Here is a 27552-nt window from a genome sequence, read left to right on the forward strand (position 1 = left end):
CAGTCACACTCATTTGTTCACAGTCTGTGGTTATTTCCACACCACGACGGTAGAACTGTGTAGCTGGGACAGACCACATGGTCTACAAAGCCTAAAATATTTGCTACCTTGCCCTTTACAGAAGTTTGCTGATCTTCATTTATACATCATAGATACAAGCTATGATGAGAAGTACAGATACAATACAAATCCACTGGAAGGTTTTAAGCAGTCTCAAGAGAGGAACATCATCAGATTTGTTTCAAGAACTATTCTGATGACTATGAAAACTCTTGTGAGAGGATGGGTGGCAGCAGTCCAGGAAACAAGGTGGTAGCCATGAAGACAGAGAAGAGCAGATGAATTCTAGGGAGATTTCAAAATTAGAACAGACAGAATTTGATGAATTGGCTATGAAGGGCAAGGGAAAAGAAGAATTGGATAGTTTTAGGTTTTGGACTTGAGCAACTGGGTAACCATTAATAAGATAGGGAAACAGAGTTCTATGTAGGGTGGGAGATATAAATCAAGAATTTTGGATTGGACACGTTACTAAAGATGCTTTATAGCAAGCCTGCCCGACCCTCGGCCCACAGGCCACATGCAACCCAACACAAATTCATAAACTTTCTTAAAACATGATGGCATTTTTTTGCATTTTTTTAAGCTCATCAGCTATGGTAGTGACAGTGTATTTTATGTGTAGCCCAAGACAATTCTTCTTTTTTTTTTGAGACAAGGTCTTGTTGTTGCCCAGGCTGAAGTGCAGTGGCACGATCTCGGCTCACTGAAACCCCTACCTCTGTGGTTCAAGCGATTCTTGTGACTCAGCCTCCCCAAGTAGCTGGGATTACAGGCCTGTGACACCACACATGGCCAATTTTTATATTTTTAGTAGAGACTGGTTTTTGCCATAATTGGCAAAGCTGCTCTTGAACTCCTGGCCTCAAGTGATCTGCCCACTTCGGCCTCCCAAAGTGCTGAGATTACAGGCATGAGCCATGGTGCCTGCCCAACAATTTTTCTTCCAATGTGGCCCAGGGAAGCCAAAAGGATGGACCCCTCTGCTTCAGCCTGGGTGACAGAGTGAGACTGTCTCAAAAAATAAAATAAAATAAAATAAAATAAAATAAAATAAAATAAAATAAAATAAAATAAAATAAAATAGTATCCAAGTAGAAATATAGGTAGCTGAACAGAAACAGGAGCTTGGGAAATATGTCAAGTCTTCAGACAGATTTGCTATGATAAGTACATAAACATATTTATAGGTATGGGACAAGAAGAAATCACTTAAGAAGTTACAGACATAGATGAAAATAGTTGCAGAACTGGAAACAATGCAGTAATATCAACATTATAAACTAACCAAGTCATGCATTAACATATATATATGTATGTTTTTATTTTTTTAAAAAAAAGGATACACGTGCAGAACATGCAGGTTTGTTATATAGGTATATGTGTGTCATGGCGTAAACCCTTATATTTTTATCTCCATATAAAATATAACTGATACTCAGAATATGAACTAATTTATTTTTTAAAAAATAAAAATATTTGACCTCACTGAATCATAAACTGTTAATTTTAATCTAAGAAACAGCCTATATTAAACAATCCAAACATATTTGCAACTATATTAATTATTTTTGATAAATTTTAAATTCAAGACTATGTCAGTATGGCTTTAGGGATATAAGCTAATCTGCGATTACTGTACAAAGAACAGTGGAGAGAAACACAATTATAGCTCACCTTAATTATATTGTTAACTAGTAAGTGTATCAATGAGCAAATCATCTCAACTTTAATTATATTATCTAGAAAATGAAGGATCTGGGCCAGATTGCTTTTTTTTTTTGAGATGGAGTCTCACTCTGTCTCACAGTGGTGCAATCTCTCCTCACTGCAACCTGTGCCTCTCGGGTTCAAGCAATTCGCCTGCCTCAGCCTCCCAAGTAGCTGGGATTACAGGCACCCACCACCACGCCCAGCTAATTTTTGTATTTTTAGTAGAGATAGGTTTTCACCATGTTGGCCAGGCTGGTCTCGAACTCCTGACCTCAAATGATCTGCCCTCCTTAGCCTCCCAAAGTGCTGGGATTACAGGGGTACCGTGCTGGCTTAAAAAATGGAAACTGTTTAAATTTAAAACAAAATCAAGAACCTCAGTATATGCTGTCTACAAGAAACCCACCTTAAATATAATTATATATAGATGTGTGTGTGTATGTTTTGAAAAAAAGACTGGCAAAAGGTATATGATGAAAACATTAATCAAAAGATAGCTGGAGTGGTTATGTTAATATTAGAAAAAGTATACGTCAAAATAAGGAAAATTACCATGATATTATTAATACACAATGATAAAATAATCAATTCGCCAAGAAGACATTAACAATAGTATATGTGTATGCATCTAAGAACAACGCCTCAAAACACATGAAGGAAAAACTGACAGAACTGAAAAGCAAGACAGACAAATCCAATTATATTTGGAGACTTCCTTTCTAGTTAATCAATAGAACTAATACACAGAAAACCAGCAAGGATACAAGAACTCCGAACACTAGCAACAAACTTTAATTAATATTTACAGAATACTCCATCCAACAATAGCAGAATATACATTACTTTCCAAAGCACATGGAATGCTCAGAGACCATAAACTCTTTTTGTTTTTTTTTTTTTGAGACGGAGTCTTGCTCTGTCGCCCAGGCCAGAGTGCAGTGGCGCAATCTTGGCTCATTGCAACCTCTGCCTCCCAGGTCCCAGTGATTCTCCTGCCTTGGCTTACTGAGTAGCTGGGATTACAGGCACCCACTGCCACACCCAGCTAATTTTTGTATTTTTTAGTAGAGATGGGGTTTCACTATGTTGGCCAGGTTGGTATCGACCTCCTGACTTCAGGTGATCCACCTGCCTCGGCCTCCCAAAGTGCTGGGATTACAGGTGTGAGCCACTGAACCCAGCTCCATAAACTTGTACTTCAATTAAAAAAAATTTAATTGAAATAGTACAAAGTATGTTTCTTTTATAATAGAATTAAGCAAGAAATCAATTAAAGACATTTGTAAAATTTTAAACTATTTAAGAACTAAACAAGACAATCCATACATCAAAGAGGAATAACAACTGAAATTATAATTATTTTAAAGTAAATAAAAATGAAAATAAAATATACTCAAATTTGAGGGATGGAGCTAAAACAATGCTTAGAGGGAAAATTATAGCACTCAATCTCTTGTTAGAAATAAACATCTGAGGCCGGGCGCAGTGGCTTACACCTGTAATCCCAGCACTTTGGGAGGCCGAGTCGGGTAGATCACGAGGTCAAGAGATCAAGACAATCCTGGCCAACATGGTGAAACCCTGACTCTACTAAAAGTAACAAAATTAGCTGGGTGTGGTGGCACGTACCTGTAGTGCCAGTTACTCAAGAGGCTGAAGCAGGAGAATCGTTTGAACCTGGGAGGTGGAGGGTGCAGTGAGCAGAGATTACGCCACTGCACTCCAGCCTGGTGACAGAGTGAGACTCCATCTCAAAATAAATAAATAAAATAAAGATCCGAGAATCAATAATCTAAGTTTCTACTTTAATAAACTAGAAAAAGAACAAACTACACCTAAAGCGAGTATAAACATGGAAAAATAAAAAGAATAAATCAAATAAATTGAAAACAGAAAAGCAAGAGTAAAACAATGACAACGAAAACTGATTCTTTGAAGGTATCAATAAAATTGATAAACCTCTAGCCAGGCTGATCAAGAAACAAAGAGCACAGACCAAACTGCCATAAGGAAAAAGGGGATTTGCCACAGACCTAACGGATATTAAAAAGATAGTAAGGTAACAGCATAAATAACTTTATGCCCCCAAATTTGACAATTAAAAAAAAAAATGGACCAATTCCTTAAAAGACACAAACTACCAAAACTCACTCAAAAACAATTTGATAATCAACAGTCCTATCTCTATTAAAGAAATTAAATGCTTAGTTTATTTTTTTATTTTTTATTTTTAAAATTATTTTTTATTATTATACTTTAAGTTTTAGGGTACATGTGCACAATGTGCAGGTTTGTTACACATGTATACATGTGCCATGTTGGTGTGCTGCACCCATCAACTCGTCATTTAGCATTAGGTATATCTCCCAATGCTACCCCTGTCCCCTCCCCACTAAATGCTTAGTTTAAAACCATGTGACAAAGAAAACTTCAGGCCAAGATGGTTTGACTGGAAAATCCTATCAAACATTCATGGTAGGGACAATATCAATTCTATACAATCTATTCCCGAAAATAAAACTTATTTTATAAGTATTATCCTAATACTAAAAGAAAACAAACATAGTGCCCCATAAAACAAACCTACCACAGACCAATATTCTTCATGAACACAGATGCAAAATCCTCAACCTATTATTGAAAACTGAATCTAACAATAAATAAAAAAGATATGTATCACAACAAAGTGTGGTTTGTCCTAGGAATGCAATACTGGCTCAACATTAAAAAAATCAATCGATGTAATACACTATATTAACCTATTAAAGGAGAAAAACCACATGATCATACCAAAAGATGCAGAAAAAAAAATCTGACAAAATTCAATATCCATTCAAGATAAATATTCTCAAGAAACAAGGAGTAGGCCGGGCACGGTGGCTCATGCCTGTAATCCCAGCACTTTGGGAGGCCGAGGCAGGCGGATCACAAGGTCAGGAGATCGAGACCATGGTGAAACCCCACCTCTACTAAAAATACAAAAAAAAATTAGCCGGGCGCGGTGGCAGGCGCCTGTAGTCCCAGCTACTCGGGAGGCTGAGGCCGGAGAATGGCGTGAACCCGGGAGGTGGAGCTTGCAGTGAGCGGAGACCACACCACTGCACTCTAGCCTGGGCAACAGAGCGAGACTCCGTCTCAAAAAAAAAAAAAAAAGAGCGAGACTCTGTCTCAAAAAAAAAAAAAAAAAAAAACAAGGAGTAGAAGGAAATTTCTTCAGCCTCATAAAGTGCATCTACAAAATCCTTAAAGTTAACATCATCTTAATGGTGAAAAGACAGAATGCCTTCCCCTTAACATCAGAAACAAAGCAAATTATGTTTACTCTCACTACACTCATTCTATACTGTGCTGGAAATCCTTGCCAGTGCAAAAAGTCAAGAAAAAAAAAAAGATACACAGAAAGAAACTGTCTTTATTGTCTATACAAAAAAAATCCTGAGAAGTCTATTACAAAAAGCTCCTAAAAAAGAGTTAAGTAAGGTTGCAGGGACATATGCTCAAAAAAATCAATGGCATTTCTGTATACCAGCAATAATAAAAAACAAATTTTAAAAACTAGTACCATTTACATACCTAATAATGCTTATTATATGGCTGGTACTAAGTATCTCACAAAACCAACTCATTAAGTCCTCAAAAACTCCTTGGTGATGTAGGTATTCTCTGGAGCCATGCATCCTGGCTCTTGAGTCTAAGCTCTTAACTATTACAATACTGGGCATACGAAGTGGGACTTTCAAAAATACACAAGGGCTGGGCGTGGTGGCTCACGCCTGTAATCCTAGCACTTTGGGAGGCTGACGCAGGTGGATCACTTGAGCCCAGGAATTCGAGAGCAGCCTGGGTGACATGGCAAAACCCCATCTCTACAAAAAAAAAACCAAAACAACAATTAGCCAGGTGTTGTGGCACGTGCCTGTAGTCCCAGCTACTTGGGAGGCTGAGGTGGGAGGATCACTTGAGCCTGGGAGGTGGAAGCTGCAGTGAGCTGAGATCGCACCACTGCACTCCAGCCTGAGCAACAGAGTGAGACCCTGTCTCAAAAACAAACAAATAAACAAACAAACAAACAGCTCAAGGGTGGGCCCCAGACATGTGTAATTTTTTTTTTAAATTTAATTTTTAAAAGAGACAGGGTCTCACTATGTTGCCCAAACTGAAGTAGGCACTACAGCTTTGAACTCCTGAGCTCAAGCGATCCTCTGGTATCAGCCTCCTGAGTAGCTGGGACTACAGGCATGTGTCACTGCTCCTGGTAGGGGAATTTTTTTTTAAAGTTCCACAGGGGACTATGATGCACATCAAAGAGAGACAACCACAGGTTTGTGCTTTAACTAACAATTAAATAATAACTTGTAATTCTCTGCATACAAAGATGATGTTAATATCATGAGACAATATATTTACAGTTCCTGTTCCTGCTTGATCAAATAGCCTTTTCTCAATTCTTCTGCAAGGCTAACTTGAAGGTCTATTCATTCTCCAAGTAAAGGCAAATACGTTAGTTTCCCAGGATCATTCCCGGACCTGGGTTTGAGTTAAGGGACCTGCTTACATGTTCTATAGCACTCTGTTCTGTTTTTTCCTCTCTCTTGGCATTTATCAGTCCTGTAACTCCCTGCTAATCTTGTCAATATTCAACATGAGGCTAAACTCCATGAGGGCAGAGACATAGCTGTCTGGTTCAATATTCTACTTTCAACACTGAGCACAATTCCTGGCATTCTGCAGACACATAATATATTAAATTAATGAACTTTGTATAAAGAAAGAAGGAAAACACAGATTCATTTATAACCAACAATATGTATTTGCAAAAGAGCTGCTGAAGCTGGCACAATTAGAGACCATTACATTAAACATTTGTACCTCTGGCCTTATGAGGTATTGTAGTAACCAAGTTTCGTAACAATTTATATACTATACTGATTAAGAAATTTTTTACCTGGAAGTTTAAGCTTTCTACAGCAAGAATTACAGTGATGTTTTGCTCTGAAGTTTTTAATTGCATCTTCTCCTAGATTTGCTGGGCCAAAAACCATATCACAGGATCTGTAGAATTGGTAATTTTAAAAAAAACAACAAAAAAAAGGGGGCAGTTTATACAGGTACAAATATAAAATGTGAAATTATGCCTTAATGAAATAGTTAAAACTTATTACCTCTTTTCTTCTGCTTTTATCACAGATGGGTCAGTCAAATTTTCACCAACACCTTTATATGTGTATATAAAAAAGACAAATAATTTATATTATATAATTGACATAAATACTGACATCTGCATAATAAAAATCATCTTAAGAGATGTTATAGTATCATCAATCATTACAATGTTAAACTATTCAAAGGAGTGTAGTTCTTCTCTTTTGATATTTCATAACTTGATTTATGACTCTGGCATTCTACCAGGGAGAGGCATATCTCCTTGTAATGTGAACAAGAGTTAAACGTCAGAGTTGGTAGGTAGGCATTAAGTTCCTTATCCTACAGCACCAAGGATGCAAATACCTCCTTACTTGTAAAAGGTCTGGTCAATCTGCCCTTGTTTCATCTTAGTTAGCAAAGAACAATTTGGTACATGAAGGAATAATCCATAGGACTTTAAAAGTGTTTGGGATTGGCCAGGCGCAGTGGCTCACGCCTGTAATCCCAGCACTTTGGGCGGCCAAGGCGGATGGATCACCTGAGGTCAGGAGTTCGAGACCAGCCTGACCAACATGGTGAAACTTCATTCCTAAAAAAAAAAAAAAAAAAAAAAAAAGTTAGCCGGACATGGTGGGGGGCGCCTGTAGTCCCAGCTACTTTCGGGAGGCTGAGACGGGAGAATCGCTTGAACCTGGGAGGCGGAGGTTGCAGTGAGCCAAAATCGTACTACTGCACTCTAGCCTGGGCAACAGAGTGAAATTCGTCTCAAAAAAAAAACAAAAACAAAAACAAAAAACAAGTGTTTGGGATTTAAGGGAAAAAAACCACACACATTAACACATATCACATTTTCTTGCAAAACATTCATGTAACACAGAGTAAGATTGTGAAAATCTTTCTTCACCTCCAGCCCTCTCCAGAAGTATTATGATTAAATCCTTCCAGTCTCTTACATATTCATGTGTGTATATATAAACACATACACACACACACTTAACACCTACTGATATTTTGAATAATCACAAATATTTAACCCATTAGAGCAAAATCTAATAAAATGGTTCAATTTCACAAAAGGAAAAACCAGAATTAAAACACGATACTATTTTCCATCCAACAGAATGGCAAACATTAAGAATATTCCATACTGGAAAGACTGTAGAGAAGCAGGAACTTCCGTAGAAGGCTGAGTATGATTTCTGATAAGCTTTTGGGAAAGTACTCTGGCAGTTGTTATTAAAATTAAAATTGTACTAATCTCTTTTCTACACCAATTTAGGAACTTACTTTAAGGAAATAAAAGTAGCAGTGCATGAGAATGGTTTGCTGCAAGCACTGTTTGTAGAAGCAAAAAACTAAAAGTAGAGTGAATGTTTATCAACACAGATGTAAATCATGCTATAGCTGCTACACTATAGACTATCACGCAGCTTACTAAAGAAATAACTCTAGAAAATGCCTATGATATATCGTTAGGCAGAAAAAAAAAGTGGAAAAAAAAAAATCTCATGATCCCAGTTGGGGTAAAACCAACACAACAAAACAAAATAATAAAAAAGAGGGAAAAAAGTCTCCGTTTGTGTATATGTCTTCACAGAAGTAGAGAAATAAAAAAGATGGGAACACTTTGTTCTTTATATATTGCTACATTGTTTAACTTGTAATCATCTAAGATATTCCTATGTAAAAATTGTTCAATAAACATTATGTTGAGATGGAATCTACTCGGTGAAGATACCGTGAACATTGTTCAAATCACAAGGGATTTAGAATATACATAAACTTTGTTGATAAAGCAGCAGGGTTTGAGAAGGTTCACTCCAATTTTGAAAGAAGTTCCACTGTGGGTAAAATGTTATCAAATGGCACTGCGTGCTACAGAAGTCCTTCATGAAAGGAAGAATCAATCCATGTGGCAAACTTCACTGTGGCCAGAGAGTGGCTCATGCCCGTAATCCTAGCACTGTGGGAGGACTGCTTGAGGCCAGGAGTTCAAGACTAGCCTGACCCACCTAGTTAGACACCCATCTCTACAAAAATTTTTAAAAATTAGCTGCATGCAGTGACGTGAGCCTGTAGTCCCAGCTATGCAGGAGGCTGAGGCAGGAGGATGGCTTGAGCCGAAGGAGTTTGAGGTTGCAGTGAGTTGTGATTGAGCTACTGCACTCCAGCCTGGGCAACAGAAAGAGACCCTGCCTCTATTTTTTAAAAAAGAAAGAAAAAGAAATTGCTGCAGTCATCGCAAACTTCAGCAACTATCAGTTAGCAGTCATCAACATGGAGGCCAGATCCTTCACCAGGAAAAAGACTACAACTTGATGAAGGCTTAGATAATTCTTACTATTTTTTAACAATAAGGTATTTTTAAATTAAGGTATGTACACTGTTCTTCATACACAATGCTATCACACACTTTAGACTACAGTATAGTGTAAATTTAACTTTTATATGTACTGCAAATCCAAAAAATTCATGTGATATGCTTTATTGCAATATTTGCTTCGTTGCAGTAGTCTGGAACTGAGCCTGCAGTATCTCTAATGTATGCTTGTAATTTTTAAACTTAACTGGATTGGCCTAACTCATAATGGACATCAGAGAGTTTTTCACAACATACACCACCATAATCATTTTTATAAAGGTATGAACTACTGAAAAAAGTATAGTTGTTTTTACATAGATTTTCATTCTTGAGCTGAAACCTGTTTGCTTTTCAACAAATCTTTTATATTTATACCTGTACACTAAAGAGTCACTGAGTAATAAACATTCTAAACAATTGTTCTCATGTGATTTAAAATCTGGTCTGTGTTTACATTTGAAATTAAGTCTGCTCTTCAGGGAGAAAAATTATGGAAGCCATAATGAAGAGAAGAGCTGGCAACTTGCTCAATTTAACTTCCTTTGACTCACTGTGAAGCTCAGCAGACATTACTCCAAGCAAACCTGCCCTCTTGCAGTCACCATTTCTTTTTTTTCTTTCATATATATGAAAGTCTTTTTTCTTTTATATGTATGAAACACAGTCTATCTGCTAAGATGGCTATGAGCAATTTTTCCCTCTATAGATGCATATCGTTCTACCCATCAACTGCTGAATCTACTTCGCCTCCCCTTGAATGTGGGCTACCCTTGTAAGTTGCCTTGATCAGTAAAATGTGGCAGAAGGCATCTCAATCCTGGGCCTAGCCTTAAGAGGTTCTGCTTTCTCTCTAGAAGAAGCCAGCTGCTATGTAAGAAGTCTAAATACCTGAAACTACCATGCTGTGAGCAAGCCCAAGCTAGCTAGCCATGTAGACAGAGAACACTGAAGAACTGAGGAATTTAGTTGACAGTGAACAGAGACCTCAGACATTTGACTCCAGTCAAGCTGTTCAATGTCTCCAGCCATTCCAGTCTTTTGAGGTGACAGCAGAGAGAGACATTCCCACTATGTCCCATCCAAATTTCTGAATGAAAGAACTATAAGGAAATAAAATGGCAGTTGTTTTAAATCCACTAAATTTTTAGGTAGTTTAGTTCACAATAACAGGTTAACATAAACACCAGGAACAATAGAGGTATTTGTTATTTTTAAAGAAACGGTCTTTATACTTTTGAAATACTAGACTGCATATCTTAGAATAGGGAATTTTTACATGTTTTTGCTTATCAAAACATCTGTATTATCTTAACCATAATTTAGATAGCCAGGCCGGGTGTGGTGGCTCACTCCTGTAATCCCAGCACTTTGGGAGGCTGAGGCGGGCAGATCACAAGGTCAGAAGCTCAAGACCAGCCTGGCCAACATGGTGAAACCTTGTCTACTAAAAATACAAAAATTAGCTGGGCGTGGTGGCAGGTGCCTGTAATCCCAACTACTCGGGAGGCTGAGGCAAGAGAATTGCTTGAATCCGGGAGGCGGAAGTTGCAGTGAGCTGAGATTGCACCACTACACTCCAGCCTGGGTGACTGAGCAAGACTCCCTCTGGGGGTGGGGGAGGGGGCGGGGGAACAAAAAAAGATAGCCAGATTCTATTACTCAAGGCCCTGATGGCTATATGCTATGACTGTGATTAACTTGCTTTTTTATAGCTTCTATTGGCCTAAGATTTTATTTATCTATAAATTAGCAGATTCTGTATAACATATGAATAGGTGAGAACCTACTGCAGAATTTCACCTTAGCAATATTTTAATAAATTTACCTTGCAAATCAAGTACCAGTAACTCCCCTCTTGTATATTCGTAAGTCCAGTGGCTAAAGGCTAGCATGATCTCTTCCAGAGTATTAGTTGGAATAATCTCATCTCCATTATTATTGTTGTATTTTCTAAATTCTCCAGTCATACATTCTTCCACAGCAAACCACTGTCCTGCTGAATGGCAATACAGCAGGAAAACTTCAAGGAACCTTATAAAAAATAGTTATAAATATTACTAGCAGTTTTGTTAATAAAATTCTAATTGATCTACAAAATGGATAATTAAATATTCAACATCAAAAATGAAGGTCAAAAGGGACTGCTATCCATATAATAAAAGATCCCAGAAAAAAATTAAAGATTTACCTTGGAGAATATGGTATGGATTTGGGTTTCATTTGATTAAAGGCAAACGTAAGCTTTTGTGCTGCTCTCTGTTGTTGAATTTCCTATAAAAGGGAGGGTGGGGAGAACCCTTGTTTAATATTTAAACTAAGATTATATTTGGCTTATTGATATTTCAGAAGTTAAAATATAAAGCTTAAATTATGTTCCACTATTAAATATTCACTGACACTTACTCTCAGACAGAGATGCAGAACTGTATCTTCTTTGTAAATACTTGACCATGTATTAACCACCTCTGGAAGAAAAGATTTGATAATATAAAGATGCCCTGATTTGAGGATATCATGTTCTGACCAGGTACACTGTACTTTGACAGCTCTTCGTAAACCTCCTCCCATCTCCTCTTTGCTTAAAAACTCTATTTTGGCACAGAGGCCTAGTTGTGACCAAGAAGACATGCTGTTATTTAGTATGTTGGGTGAACTCTCTTCCAAACGATACACTGTGACAGGCTCCCCTGCAACACAAATGGAAAAAGTTTAAGATTAAATTGTGACTTTTTAAAAACGACAAAGTAAAATAAAAATTAGCAGGCATCTTTGATTAAGGAACAGAAGATAAAATGGACCAAGATGTAGTTTTATACAAAGAAATTTAATAGCAATAGGTAAGAAATCAAGGATACTTTCATAATATCTTTGAATTCATGTGTAATGTTAGGCATTTTTGAAATTCTGGCATTTTAGAGAAAACCTTTAAAAAAGCAACTAAAATTCTACACACTTCTGAATTAAACTTAGAAGTTAGAGCTGTTTCATGGACACTGTGATGTCAGTTTATATAAATTACTAGATAGTGGATCAAGAACTTTTTAGAATTAGAATATATTGTTGCTTCTGAATATGCCAGTAATGGAGAAACTCAATATTTCTGATGCTTCCCTTCTTCTATTCAAACATACCTCACCCTTGTGGTAGTCAGATTAATCAAGAATTTATTTGAAATTGATACTTCTTAATGTAATCCCACCCACATTCTATATTATAGCTAAAAATCATTAAAGGGTTAATTTTCACTTATTTATTTCTTTAATTTTTGGATTTACCTCTTGGAGGCACAGGTGTAAATGGAATGCTCTGTGATAACCTCATCAAGTTATTTCTTTCCACAGCTGCATAAAAATGAGAGAGAAATAATTAAATCTGTAAAGGTCCAAAATGCTATTAAATTTTGTTTTTAATATTACTGACCTGAATAATAGTAATTTGTATCCATAGCTGGCTTAAATGGAGAAGTGAGACCTAGAATGGCAAATAAACAAACGAGACCATTTAAAAAGTACTAGTACAGCAAAAATTTTAACCCGGATAATCTCATAAAATCATTTTGAATTTCCATAGTGTAACTGTTCCTCACAAAAACAGAAAAATTAGGGATAAAATATGTCCACTGTGCTATATTACCCTATTTCATTATGCCAGATTAGTGACAGCTGTGCATTTAGACACCTACAAGTGAAGAGCACATTATGCTGCACACTATCCTAACTCCTGCCATAAACTCACTCCTCCCATACCTCCCATTCAGAAAGAAAAATCTCTCTTTGATTCTGATGTTTGGGGGTTGGGGACTGTAGCCATGTAAATATTTTAGCAGGTCTACCATGAGAAGATGAACTTCTGGAATGTGAAACATACCCATCAAAAGCCCTTCCCCCATCTTTTTGTGTGTGTGTGTGGAATTGACCTTTAAATGTTGCAAGAAGACAAAGACAAGTCAAATCTGCTATGTGCTAAGTTTCTAGAACACAAATAAAAAGAAACCTACTGTCTTGCAGGAAAAGGAAGTTAGCCAACAGTTTTAATACTGTATAAAAATATACTTTAAAAATGTGTATATACACATACATGTGTGCACATACTGTACGACTATATAGGAGTACCTAATGCCTTTTGGTTGAGAAGACGTCAAAGCTATCTCAGAGTAAGAGAAGGGGGAAGATTGACCTATAGTGCTTTTTGGACATACATCCACCCAGATGTCACTCCAAAATATTCTAATTCTGTAGGTATGTGTCATCATAGAAATGATTCTCTACAAATGATTTGAATATGCAGCTAAGACTACAAATTAATGGGCAAGAGTACAGGGATAACTGCAGGAGGTGAAGCTACAGAAACAGGGAATATCAAATTGTTAAGAGGAGGCCAGGCACAGTGGCTCACACCTATCATCATTAACACTTTGGGAGGCTGAGGTGGAAAGACTGCTTTGGGGCCAGGAGTTCAAGACCAGCCTGGATAACATGGCAAGGCCCCATTATCAACAAAAAAGATTTTTAAAATTAGCTGAGCAAGGTGGCACCCACCTGTAGTCCTAGCCACTCAGAAGGCAGAGGTGGGAGGAATGCTTGAGCCTAGGAGGTTGAGGCTGCAGTGAGCAAAGTCTGTGCCACTGCACTCCAACCTGGTGACAGAGAGATCCTGTCTTTGGCAGGGGAGGGGGCGGGAGGCGTGGAATTAAGAGCCTAAAGTGTGTGTGGGGGGGTAATTAAAAGCCTAATATGTCATGTTAAGGAAGAACACTGGATTTCATTAAACAACAATGGGGAAAAAATGTAAAGTGGAGGAGTGACCTTTAGAAAAATCAGGCCAGGTGCGGTGGCTCTCGCCTGTAATCTCAGCACTTTGGGAGGTGGAGGTGGGCAGATCATGAGGTCAGGAGTTAGAGACCAGCCTGGCCAACGTGGTGAAATCTCGTCTCTACAGAAACACAGAAATTAGCCGGATGTGGTGGTGCATGCCTGTAATCCCAGCTACTCGGGAGGCTGAGGCAGGAGAACTGCTTGAACCTGGGAGGCGGAGGTTGCAGTGAGCCAAGATCACACCACTATACTCCCTACTCCAGCCTGGACGACAGAGCAAGACTCCTTCTCACCCGGGGGCAGGGAAGGGTGGCAGAATAGAACATTGATGAGAAGCAAAACTACAGGCAGGGACCCCAAACTGGTATAACCACTCTGAAAACCTATTTGGTAGTAATTACCAAATGTGAACACATGCTAACTCTGACTCAGCAATTCCACTCCTAGGCATATGCCAATAATAAATAAATACATATGTTTATCAAACAACATGAACAAGAATGCTTGTAGCAGCAAGTCATAATAGCCATACAGTGGAAGCTACTGAAATGACCACCAAATAGCAGAATGGAAGTAAATTCAATATATTTACATAAGAAAATTTTATATAGTAGTGAGAATGCACAAATTACCACTATCCACAGCAATATTGATGAATTTTATAACAATATGTTAAGAAGAAGAAGCAAGACACAGAACAGTATATACTGTACAATTTCATTTATATAGCCAATATGCACATACATGCAAACACTCACACACGCACATACACCCCAAAATAGGTGAAACTATTGTTTTAGGGGCAGGGACTATAAGAAGTAGAAACAAAGGAATGGAGATATAGGCAAAATTGTTTTTAGGTGCTGATTACATGGCTATACTTACTTTGAAAGAATTCACTGAATTCTGCACTATTCTGTATGCACTATACACTTCGATAAAAGGTTGACAAAGTAATGGTCTAAGCTGAAAGCAGCAGTGGGATGTATAGTGGAGGATGGATTTTAGAGACATGTAGGAAGTAAATGCAATAGGACTTTGTGAGTACAAAGTCAAGGTGGTCAAGAATAACTCAGCTGACTAAAAGTTTCATTTGTTAAAACAGATGGAATATTAGAAAAGGAGCAGGCTGTATAGCAGAGACCAAGTAGCAGGGAGGAAGTGTGACAGTAAAGATATCATCATTCACAGGGTGATTCGTGTGTTTGTGAAACATCTACAGTAAGGAGAAAGTATATGAGGGAAGAACTCTTCAATACCTTGGCTTTTTCTAGCTTGAAGTCTAAAATATCTTACCTAGAATAATGTGGTGTTTGCTGTAACAGATCATGTAAGATTCTCATTTTTTTCACGTTCAATCTACCACACAGACTCACCATTTAATGTTCCTTCTTCAGATGGCCTAAAGAAACACCAAAAAATATAGTATAAGCTGTGCTATGATTTAAGTTTTGGCTATCATTTAATTTTTTGATTTTATACAATTATTATATAAAAAATATTATTAAGGAAATTCTGAAATTGATTCCCTTTGAATATTTGCCATTTCCCTTAAGCCAATCCCAATCCATATATAGATATATATATCTATATATATATATCCATATGTATCTACTTATTAATAACTTGTATCTCCAATTTATGCATAAATATTATTAGCAGTTTGGTGCCAAATTGAAGGCTCTATACTAATAAACTATTTCATAACTTCTGTATTCGTGGAGATTCATTCCAGTACTGTAACAATACATTGAGATGACTTTGCAGGATGCTAGAAATATTTCAATAGAATTGATGGACAAAGAACTGAGAGAAAAGTAAGTAGATGTCATTTTGCCTCTTAGTTTCTAATGTTGAAAAATATTTCTCCCAATGTTAACTGTATTTATTTATAACAACATACACTGGCACCAAATGCAGGTTCTTTTACTTCCAAGGATTCCAGTGTCAACTAGACACACAGGTAGAGTGGAAAAGAGAACAGAATGAGAATAAAGGAAAACGGGTTAGAGGCTTAGCACTTTCATTACACAGCTATGTAGCCTTGCTCAGGAATGAAAGGACCAGATCCAGAAAGGACCTTGGGAGTAGATAACCTGTCTCTTTCCAGCTCCTACATTCTATCTGACCCTGTTGTTTCCTGTTGATTTTCACCTTAATAGAAACATTTTCTTACAAAAAGTATTTTGAACCTAACATCATTCCTTTGCCTGCTGCTAATCAATCACTCTTTTCTCAGCACTCAAAGGGCTGCCAATCAGCTCCACCTTTATGGGTAATTCTCAGGGTCAGCATTCTGCAAGACAATGTTCTGTTGTTAGACACCGGAATTAACACCAACTTGAAGTGCCTATTTTGTACTTACATCCCATGGCTTTGGTTATAAAAGAAAATATTCCTTGAAGAGGTCTGACTATAGGTGGGCCTTCCAAATGCCATTCCAGGGTCAGGAAACTCAATTTGAGCAGCTGCTTATCCTGTGGCCCAGGTTTATTTTCTTCTTTATATATTCAGATTTATTTATTTTCTTTTTTAAAAAAAATTATTTGTTTTGAGACTAGGTCTCGCTGTTGCCCAGGCTGGAGTGAAGTGGTGCAATCATGGCTCACTACTCCTGCGCTCAAACAATCCTTCTGCCTCAAGCCTCCTGAGTAGCTAGGACCACAAGCGCACACCACTATACCCAGCTAATTTAGAGATGGGGTCTCACTATGTTTCTCAGGCTGGTCCCCAACACCTGGGCTCAAGCGATCCACCCACCTTGGCCTCCCAAAGTGCTGGGATCACAGGTGTGAAGCACCATGCCTGGCCCAGATTTATTTCTGATTCACAGAAGGGGAAAAACACTGCAGAATAATAATTTCCCCCAAATTGGCTTCTCTGCTCAAGTAATCCATATGACAGAATAACTCTACCATGCTTCCAGTATCAGGTGGGTGTCAAAACAAGACTTTTTTTTTTATTTTTTTGCATATCCTTTGGAATTCTACAATACTAATTCCTAGGATGGAAACACAGAGATTATCTTAGATTTGTCTTTACCCTTATGTCTAATATGTACTAAAAAGTTTTACTTTCTGGGGACAATAACCTGTCAGATTGCCTATAGTTTCCACTTTTGGTTTTGGATTACCACATCAGCTTTCTAGTGGATCTTCCTGTATGCAGGCTTTCTAATGCATACTGTGTATTACTGCTCTAATCATCAAAGTGCTTACCAAAAGCAGATGCAAGGTTTTGACTAGAATGATGGATAGAGAAATCAAGCAAGTACAAAACTAAAGTCTCAAACTAGGTCTCTCAACAAATTTATTCAGGAATAAGTTAGAAACAGGACTAAATAATAAAATCAGAATTGTATCACTATTAGGAAGACCTTAGTAGAGTTGTAATTATGGTACAACTATATGAAAATAATAAATTTTAACTTTTATATTAATTCATAATAAACTTGTTCCCCTAATCTCATCTATGTGAAGAGAGGAGATGCTAGAATAAATAATCATCACTCATAAAGAAATGTTAAAGAGATGATGTAAAGAGCAGGAAAAAAGACAACATTCAATAACTATGATACTTCGCAAGCTAATGGTAAGAAAAAGCTTACTTACATTTCTCTGTTTGATGGTCTATCTTGTAACCAATCCTTCAGTAAAAAAAAAACACACACACACAAAAACCTTAAAGACAAAAATCTCTAGATGAAGCATAACGGTTTAACTTTTTTTCTTATATTTTAAGAATGAAAGGCCAAAAAACTAACATACAGTTCTTGTTTCATAAAACAATAAATTTATTTATTATAACTGTATTTACTGTAAATGTAACTACCATAAGACTATTCAACAAGGTGGAATAAAAAATTCTGTTATTTCCCACAACATTGTCTTTCTATTCTTTATGAATTTTTATATTGTTTGAAGACAATTCTATTCTCTTAAAATATATATTTGTGGCCGGGTACGGTGGCTCACACCTATAATCCCAGCACTTTGGGAGGCCGAGGTGGGTGGATCACCTGAGGTCAGGAGTTCGAGACCAGCCTGGCCAATCTGGTGAAACCTCGTCTCTACTAAAAATACAAAAATTAGCTGGGCGTGGTGGCGGGCGCCTATAATCCCAGCTACTTGGGAGGCTGAGGCAGGAGAATCACTTGAATCTGGGAGGTGGAGGTTGCAGTGAGCCAAGATCGTGCCATTGCACTCCAGCCTAGGCGACAGAGCGAGACTCCATCTCGAAAAAAAAAATAATAAATATATATATGTATATATACATATACATATAAACATCAAAATACAAACAGAAAAATTAAAATCATGTAAGCTGTGAATGCTCATGACATTTAGGCATATTTCACTGCAGCCTTTGTTGTGTATATGTGCATATGGTTTTTATTCTGCAGTTGTATAATGTTCCTAGGTGTGGGTTTATTTTTACTTCCCCAGTTTGAGACTCATTCTGCCCGAATTTGAATCTTCACATATTTTATCATTTTGTAAAATTCTAAACCATTTCTAATCTCTTCAAATTTTGTCTACTCTCTCAAGGCCAGTTAGATATGTCTTCCATGTCTCTTTACCTTTAATATATTTTCCATCTGACTATGTAGTTTATCTTTTTTTTTTTACTTTAATCTGTTGCATTCTGATCCAGTTTAGTAATTTTCCCTTCAGATGTGCCTAATCTGTTAATTAACTCCCACTGAGTGGGGTTTTTTTGAGATGGAGTTTCACTCTGAAGCCCAGGCTGGAGTGCAGTGGCGCAATCTCGGCTCACTGCAACCTCCACCTCCCTGGTTCAGGAGACTCTCCTGCTTCAGCCTCCCGAGTAGCTGAATTACAGGCATGTGCCACCACACCCAGATAAGTTTTGATTTTTAGTAGAGACAGGGTTTTGTCAGGTTGGCCAGGCTGCTTGAACTCCTGATCTCAAGTGATCCACCCGCTTCGGCCTCCCAAAATGCTGGGATTACAGGCATGAGCCACTGCACACAGCCCCCACCGAGTTTTTTTTTTATTTCTAGTTTTTCAAATTTGCCAGTCTTTTTGAATAGTATCTCCTTCTTTTCTCATGTTTTATATTTAAAACTTTTTTATGTCCATCATCACTTTAAACATACTTATTTTGTCATCTATAACCAATAATTCCACTATCTTATCAGAAATCAAATACCGTTTATGTAAGTTGACTCCCATGAGTTCTAAATTGCCATTGTGAGGTCATCTTCGGTTAGGCTTTAATTTGTTGCAAAGTTGTGCAGCTCAGGGTCAGGAAGAGTCCCTCCAGAAAGGAGGATTTGTTACTGTGAATCTCTTTGTTAACTAACCTCTTTCCCCACTGAAATAACTTTTTTCAATAACATGATTTTAACAACATAATCTCTCTATGCCAGAACAGATATATTTTGAATGTAAGTCAATATTTTCTTGAGCAAAATTATGAGCACTGACTTATATATAATACTTGATTATAAAGGAGTAATTTTTCTGCCTTTTCCTGAGCTTTTTGTCTTGTCAGTGTGTGCTTTTAAAGGGAATTTGCAAAATCAATCATTATCGCAGTTAGCTGGAAATGAGTTCATATAATTAGCTTCAATTCAAACAAAAAGAGATTCCTGCCTTTATTCTGCATAAATTTTTCTTTAAAATTCCTGACTATTCACTGTAAGAAACTTTTCTGTAACTGCTACTATGCTAAAGTCAGTTTTCTTAAGAAAAATTTTTTTGAATTTTTGATATAGTCCCAAATATCACCACTTTGTAGATCTTATCTAAAAAAGTTTAATGTATTTAATAATATATATCTGTTTAGTTGAAATCTACAAACCGGTATTAAAGCTGCTTTGGAATCTACTTCATGAGTGTCTTCGGTAGATGGCCTTCTACTGATTTTTTCTGCTAAAAGAAAATTAAAAAATATAAAAAAGCTACACAACTGAAGTTTTATGAATACCAACTAACCAAACACAAAGTATTCTAGGCACAGTATAACCTTCATAAGATAACTCAACCTTTCCTCAACACGCTGAACACAAGAGTTACATGAGGCCCATAAATTATTCAATTTATTTTGAGTAAACTATTCAATTTATTGTGAAAAGGCAACAATAAATGAGAGTATGAAGTAAAAAAAAATTTCTCCCCCTCCTGTTCCCAATCACCCTGACTGGGGACAGTAAAGGTAATTCATTTCTTGCATATTCTTCCTGGGATATTTGTATGTGTATACACATACCCCCGCCAATATTTAACATAAATGGTAGAGAAACATATATGTCTGGAGGGTTTTGTTATTTTAAACTTTAAGCTTAGAGTTTTGTTTTTTTTTTTTTGAGACAGAGTTTCACTCTTGTTGCCCAGGCTGGAGAGCAGTGGCACAATCTCAGCTCACCACAACCTCTGCCTCCTGAGTTCAAGCGATTCTCCTGCCTCAGCCTCCCTAGTAGCTGGCATTACAGGCATGTGCCACCATGCCCGGCTAATTTTGTTTTCAGTAGAGACTGGGTTTCTCCTTGTTGTTCAGGCTGGTCTCAAACTCCTGACCTCAGGTGATCCACCCGCCTCAACCTCCCAAAGTACTGGGATTACAGGTGTGAGCCACTGCGCCTAGCCAGCTTAGAGATTTTCTACAGAACAGAGAAGATTTCCCAATTATCTTTCGATGCTCTCTTTATTTCATATTGGATACACATTAATGTATTTAAACAAACTCCTACTGATGGAAATTTGATCTGTTTCCAATCTCTTCCTATGATAAACAGTGCCGCAATGAATAATCCTTTTCCCCAATTTATGATAATACCTTTGTTGTCATATCTTATTTATCCGAAATGAACTTTAGAATTAAGCCTACTTCCAAAAAAAGTCAGGTCATTAAGTTACAAATCAACTTAGAGAAAGCTTACAATTTTACAGTACAACAAAGGATAACCTCAGAATGAAGAAAGGAAAATCTCAGAACAAAATTTGTATTCCAGGTGTAGAGGACAAAAAGACCAGACTGAGATATATTAGAAGACTCTGGGCAAAATGTTTTCAATATGATGAAACTGACAGAATACATTATATTCTGAATATCATGAAGAAATCTGGTTAAATACCAGAGAACCTAGAGTGTTGATTTAACCAAAACTGTAACTATACTTGGTGGAAAAGGGTGAACAGGTGTGTGTGTGTATGTTCGTTCTGGGAATACAGAGTGAGAAAAGAGAGTTCAATTCTTGTCTTCTTTAGTGGAAGGTCAACAGATACGGCCTAAAACTGAAATATGAGGATGCTGCAATACAGGTAGGTTTGAGTATTTCTAGTGATCACTTACTAGAAATGCTTGGGATCAGAAGTGTTTCAGATTTCTGTTTTTTTTTTTTTTTTTAAATTTTGGAATATTTGCATTATACTCACCCAGGTGAGCATCTGAAAATCTGAAATCTGAAACGCTCCAATGAGCATTTCCTTTCAGTCAGTACTCAAAAATTTTGGATTTAGGAGCATTTTAGATTTTGGGATGTTCAATCCATATAAGCATACTAACTTAGGAATAACATCTATGTTAACTTAAATACTGAGAATTCTTTTTCTTCCCTCCTAATCCTTCTACCATTTCTTTCTCTTTTTCTTTTTTGTTTGAGATGGAGTCTCGCTCCCATTCCCATTGCACAGGCTGGAGTGCAGTCGCGCTATCTTGGCTCACTGCAACCTCCATCTCCTGGGTTCAAGCGATTCTTCTTCCTCAGCCTCCCGAGTAGCTGGGATTACAGACGTGCGCCACCACATCTAGCTAATTTTTGTATTTTTTTTTTTTTTTTTTTTTTGAGACGGAGTCTCGCTCTGTCGCCCAGGCCGGACTGCAGACTGCAGTGGCGCAATCTCGGCTCACTGCAAGCTCCGCTTCCCGGGTTCACGCCATTCTCCTGCCTCAGCCTCCCGAGTAGCTGGGACTACAGGCGCCCGCCACCGCGCCCGGCTAATTTTTTGTATTTTTAGTAGAGACGGGGTTTCACCTTGTTAACCAGGATGGTCTTGAACTCCTGACCTCAGGTGATCCACCTGCCTCGGCCTCCCAAAGTGCTAGGATTACAGGCGTAAGCCACCTGGCCCACTCTACCATTTATTTTACTTGCTTTACTGCTCTGGCTAGAATGTAAAACAGAAACAGTAACAGTCAAAATCCTTGTCTTGCTCCCCATCTTGGGCTTTCAATAGTTCACTATGAAGTTTGATGCTTTGTGATAATTTTTTGTTGATATCCTTTTTGAGATTAAGAATGAATACTGAATGTTAACCAAATCAGCTGTTAAGATGATCTCATGATTTTTCTCCTTTAATCTGCTACTATCATGCATTATCACAATTATATTTTTGAATGTTAAGACAACTTTTATTCCTGGAATAAACCCAATTTGGTCATAATATGCATTGCTGAATTCAGTATGCCAAAGGAAAATGAAAGTGATGGTGAGATGGACAATGTAGTACTATTTTTCTTAAGGAACCTTTATAATTATTCAACTTTTCAACGATGTGCATATATAATCTTGACTTATAAAAAATTATGATATGGAAACATCACCACAATATAGTAAATGAGAAATTAATGGTACAAGGCAACATGTATTGTCTGTGACCTTTTGTGTAAAAAATGAGAGGTATAAGATTGTACTGTCATACATGACTGTATAAGCATGAAACTCTAAAGGGTAGACAAATAGTGGTAAATGTGGGAACAGAGTGAGAGAGAAAATTTTCAGAGTGTGTGTATTTTAATTTTGAACCAAAAATGTATGATTTTTAAAAGTTAAACTAGAAAAATATGTTGAATAAGTGATGATACAGATTAAAACATGATACAGATGAACAGATACATTTGCAAAAGCTAAAAGCAGCAGATTTACAAAAAGTTTTTCTATTCCATCTTTACAGAATAAACAATTTGTAAAACATATTCTAATAAAACATTCTAATGAATGCTAGGATTACGACTTATTCAAGGTTACAGTCACTATGGCAGATCAGAATTTTCGTCTTCTGACTCCTGCACCATTCACTGCTCATGTGTTTGACAAACATAAAATACATTTAAAGTGTAAATGAGTATGTTTTCTGACACTATTCATATGGTCAAAATACTCACCTTGTTTTGAATGAACAGGAATGGAAGTTCTGTGACAGTCAGTAAATCCAGCAAGAGAACTCACTCGTTTCAAAGTGTTTTCAGAAGTATTGTTATTCTGCAAATATTGTGCAGACATATAATTTGAAAATAATTGAACTAAATTTCAACCCATTACTCTAAGTAGTATTAGAGTCCCTTGATCTATTTAGCTCAATATGCTTTATTCTACCTGGACACCAATGGGTGTATTATAGATTATGGTTATTTTCTTCAATGCCAATTTCAAAAGCTGCACCAAAACACCTTATTTTCCTACTGTTCATAAATCCATCCAAATGAATTTTTTATAATAATAAAAACTCAGACTGGGCATGGTGACTCACACCTGTAATCCCAGCACTTTGGGAGGTCGAGGCGGGCGGATCATGATGTCAAGAGATCGAGACCATCTTGGCCAACATGGTGAAACCCCATCTCTACTAAAAATACAAAATCAGCTGGTTGTGGTGGCGCATGCCTGTAGTCCCAGCTACTCAGGAGGCTGAGGCAGGAGAATCACTTGAACCCGGGAGGCGTAGGGTGCAGTGAGCCAAGATCAAGCCACTGCACTCCAGCCTGCTGGCAGAACGAGACTCCGTCTCAAGAAAAAAACAAAAACAAAAGAAAACAAAAAACCTCACAAAAAAGTTGGAAAAATATACAAAACTGTGGAGAAAAAACGCAATCATTATGAATTCACCTCACCCCCAAAGAAGCTATTATCTTACATGTATCTTGACACACTGATAACATTAATGGTGGGGGAACTATTTCCTTTTGGGGATCTTGGTAACTTTCTTATTGCTTTGTATGAGCTATTTATACAACAAGGTTATCTATATGCTCACTATTTTGTCAGATTTCAATTTGTATTTCAAATTTCTTTTGACTATGTTTTTTAGGTACTTAAATCTCTACATTTTCCCTTAATATTTTTCTATTATTTATGTGTTTGGAAAGCCCTGAAGGCTTTACTGGCTCAATAAATACTGCTTTTTTTTTTTTTTTTTTTGAGATGGAGTCTTGCTCCATCTCAAAAAAAAAGTTGTTTAAATCAAAACACAGCTACTGCTTTTCTGCTAACTCACAGAAACTTGCAATGTCTTGTTTTTATCAAGGAGTACCTGCCACTTAAAAATTTTCAGCACGTTTTTTCTTTAAGTTCATTATTAAAAAGGTGAAATCTGTGGGAAAACTCTGATGCTTTACCTTTTCCCATTAAGAAATGTCCATTTATCCTAAATTTTATGTCTTACTTCTATCAAGTGCTTCGCAATAGCAAAATGATACCACCAGAGTGTGGCAATATGACAATAATTTGTGTAAAGAAAAAGAAAATGTGATGAACTTAGGTTTAAATAATTCTACATTATAAACAGCTTTACTAAAACTTATGAAAGTCCATAAAACATTTCATTTACCTATAAAATCTACTTCAACCCTATATGGAATACAGATATTCCATATGTCATATGGCAATAATTATAAAACCAATTTGGTAGACAGCAGTCTGTTCTTTCTTCTTTCTAGCACTTTTTCTCATTCCCGCTTTTCTTCTTTCTCTTTTTATCGTGTGTCAGCTAAGGCTACCTAAGTGAACTTGATCCATTTATTTAGCTCTCAGTCTAAATATGCCATAATTAAAATGGTTAGAAAACACTGCAAATTATAGTCTTATGATAGGTCCGCTGAACCTACACCTATTTCCTCCATCTAAAAGCACATGGGTATATTTTAAGCTGACTTTCTGACTTCTGCATATACTAAAGAGACTTTACCTCATATTTAGGCATCTCTGTATACTCCATAATCACATTTCTTACATCATTCTGCTGCTCCTATTTGAGGTAAGAAAATTATGCAACTATTCTCAAACTTAAAGGCAAATACAGAAAGGAAAAAACCCAGGTAATCATTACACCTCAATTTGCATATAATAACCAATTAAATACCAAGTTATCAATATCTAGTTAATAGATATTAAATTAAGTTAATTGATTTAGTACAATACTTTAATCAAAATATGATAATAAAAATACAAAATGTTACAATATAAAAATGCATTTGAGTCTACTTTTTATATGTAGGGTAGTAAGTAATATGGCCTGACAGCAATTACATAATTCACCTGGATCACATAAAAAGTAATCATTCATAGAAACTCCTACGTCATTATCATTTCCTTGGTTCTAGCTTTAGGAAAGGTCCTGTTTTCACTGTGTATGTCACTTAACATTTCTATAATGTAAGTTCTTTAAGGGCTAGAGAAGCTTAACACCTTTCTAGGTGTTTTTAATTATCTTGTTGTAGCCACATTACCACTCCAAAGGCTCTAAATAGCCACAAGTAATATATGAGAGCAACATTTAAGAAATAAAACCAACTTTGCAGGCAAGAATACACCTTTTTTGCCAGCTGTTCTACATATTTTGAAACTTATTTAACAAACATTTATCAAATTATCTTGCACTTGTACATAATATACAGCTTCTCACTGCTAGACAATAGGTTTCTAAGAGTCAGGGTCATGTTCAAATAAAACTTTTGGATCTGGGAAGAGTGAGCTCATTAAGTATTTAATCAGTGGAAAACATATGGGGAGAAGAAATTTTTAAAAAAGAAATGTAGGCCGGGCACAGTGGCTCACGCCTATAATCCCAGCACCTTGGGAAGCCGAGGCAGGCGGATCGCTTGAGGTCAGGAATTTGAGGCCAGCCTGGACAACATGGTAAAACCTCATCTCTACTAAAAATACAGAAATTAGCCAGGCATGGTGATGCGCACCTGTAATCCCAGCTACTCAAGAGGCTGAGGCAGGAGAATCACTTGAACCCGGGAGGTGGAGGTTGCAGTAAGCGGAGATCACACCACTGTACTCCAGCCCAGGTGACAGCGAGACTCCGTCTCAAAAAAAAAAAAAAAAAAAAAAGAGAGAAATGTTAAATAGCTGATGTTTTTTATTTAGTGAGTATAATTACGCAAGCTGTTTGTACCTTTTCATGTTCCTCAATTGTTCATTTTTTCAAACTGAGGACAGCTTCAAATATTTGGTATCAGCATGTTAATGATATCTGCTAAAACTGTATTTTTGCTGAAAAAATGTTTAATTAAATTTTGAACTAAACATCAAGACAGTAAAATAAATAGAACTGTGGGTGTTTTAATAAGGATTTACTTACGGATAGTATTTTTATCTTGTTTGATGTTTCTTTAAACCTCTGTAAATCCATGCTATCTCTGTGTCCTTTAATAGAAAAAAAGATGTTGCAATGAGAAATTTTTATTTTTCTTCACCGAAATAATGGCACTGCTTAAAGTTTATAAAAACAATAGGTTTATGCTGTTTTTCAAGTACACTTGATGGCTCTGCAGTCTCCTTTAGCTCTTTTGATAAATAAAATTGAAAATTGCCAAGAAGCTGGTGAAGGTTACAGTTTTTTTTGTTTTTTGTTTTTTTAAATTTGAGAACAAGTCTCGTTCTGTTGCCCAGGCTGGAGTGCAGTGGTGTGACCTTGGCTCACTTCAACCTCTGCCTCCCGGGTTCAAGCAATTCTCCTGCCTCAGCCTCCTGAGTAGCTGGGACTACAGGCACGTGCCACCATGCCTGACTAATTTTTGTATTTTTAGTAGAGACAGGGTTTCACCATGTTAGCCAGGCTGGTCTTGAACTCCTGAACTCAAGATCTGCCTGTCTTGGCCTCCCAAAGTGCTGGGATTACAGGCCTGAGCCACCGCACCTGGCCAAGATTATAGTTAAGTTTACAGTAACGTTAAAAGCCAAAGTCCTTATAAAACAAACCAACATGTGATATGAATAAATAGCTCGAAATTTAAAAGAAAAAAGGGGACCAAGCATTTTTACTATTAATAAAAAAAAAAGCATTACATATATACGGATAATCACTCAAAAAGGAATGATTTATTCTTATGCCTATAACTTAAACAAAAACAGAACAAAAATATTTTGGCAATAACACTTTAATGACCTTAATGAAAACTGTTCCACACATAGAGATTGTTCAGACAACATGTTAATAAGCCCATGTATAATCTCCACATTAAGACCAGTCTAGCAAGTTATTCAGGCACTGAACATGCTGATACTTACTGCTAGGCTATATGGAATTCACTCTAGATATACAGATATGTAACTTTTCCTATATAATATACATGTAGAGAAAATATATATGATATATACATACACCCCACTGGTAATACATTAACAAATAGGCTAAAATGCATTTTTAAAAATAAATTGGAAATTAGCCAGGTGTGGTGGCGTGTGCCTGTAATCTCAGCTACTCAGGA

The 27552-nt window shown here is 36.9% G+C and overlaps 1 protein-coding gene across 5 annotated transcripts in view; it reads right to left on the reverse strand.

The window, feature by feature from the left end:
- The window catches only part of TRPM7 (transient receptor potential cation channel subfamily M member 7), a 129640-nt gene that overhangs the window by 6011 nt on the left and 96077 nt on the right, over positions 1-27552 (reverse strand). For 4 of the 5 annotated variants that reach the window (NR_149154.2, NR_149152.2, NR_149153.2 and 1 more), the window contains 12 exons: positions 26424-26488; positions 23224-23320; positions 19921-19991; positions 17706-17740; positions 15471-15496; positions 12701-12751; positions 12556-12621; positions 11684-11967; positions 11469-11551; positions 11106-11311; positions 6936-6987; positions 6719-6825 (listed from right to left, as the gene is read on the reverse strand). Coding sequence is in view for 2 of the 5 variants with exons in the window: in NM_017672.6 (NP_060142.3) it covers positions 6719-6825; positions 6936-6987; positions 11106-11311; positions 11469-11551; positions 11684-11967; positions 12556-12621; positions 12701-12751; positions 15471-15496; positions 17706-17740; positions 19921-19991; positions 23224-23320; positions 26424-26488 (1143 nt within the window). In the remaining 3 variants the exon portion in view is untranslated. The remainder of the gene's footprint in view (positions 1-6718; positions 6826-6935; positions 6988-11105; positions 11312-11468; positions 11552-11683; positions 11968-12555; positions 12622-12700; positions 12752-15470; positions 15497-17705; positions 17741-19920; positions 19992-23223; positions 23321-26423; positions 26489-27552) is intronic. The other variant, NM_001301212.2, reaches the window with a different exon arrangement.

Source organism: Homo sapiens, chromosome 15 (assembly GCF_000001405.40).
Source record: "Homo sapiens chromosome 15, GRCh38.p14 Primary Assembly".
Classification (NCBI taxonomy): domain Eukaryota; kingdom Metazoa; phylum Chordata; class Mammalia; order Primates; family Hominidae; genus Homo; species Homo sapiens.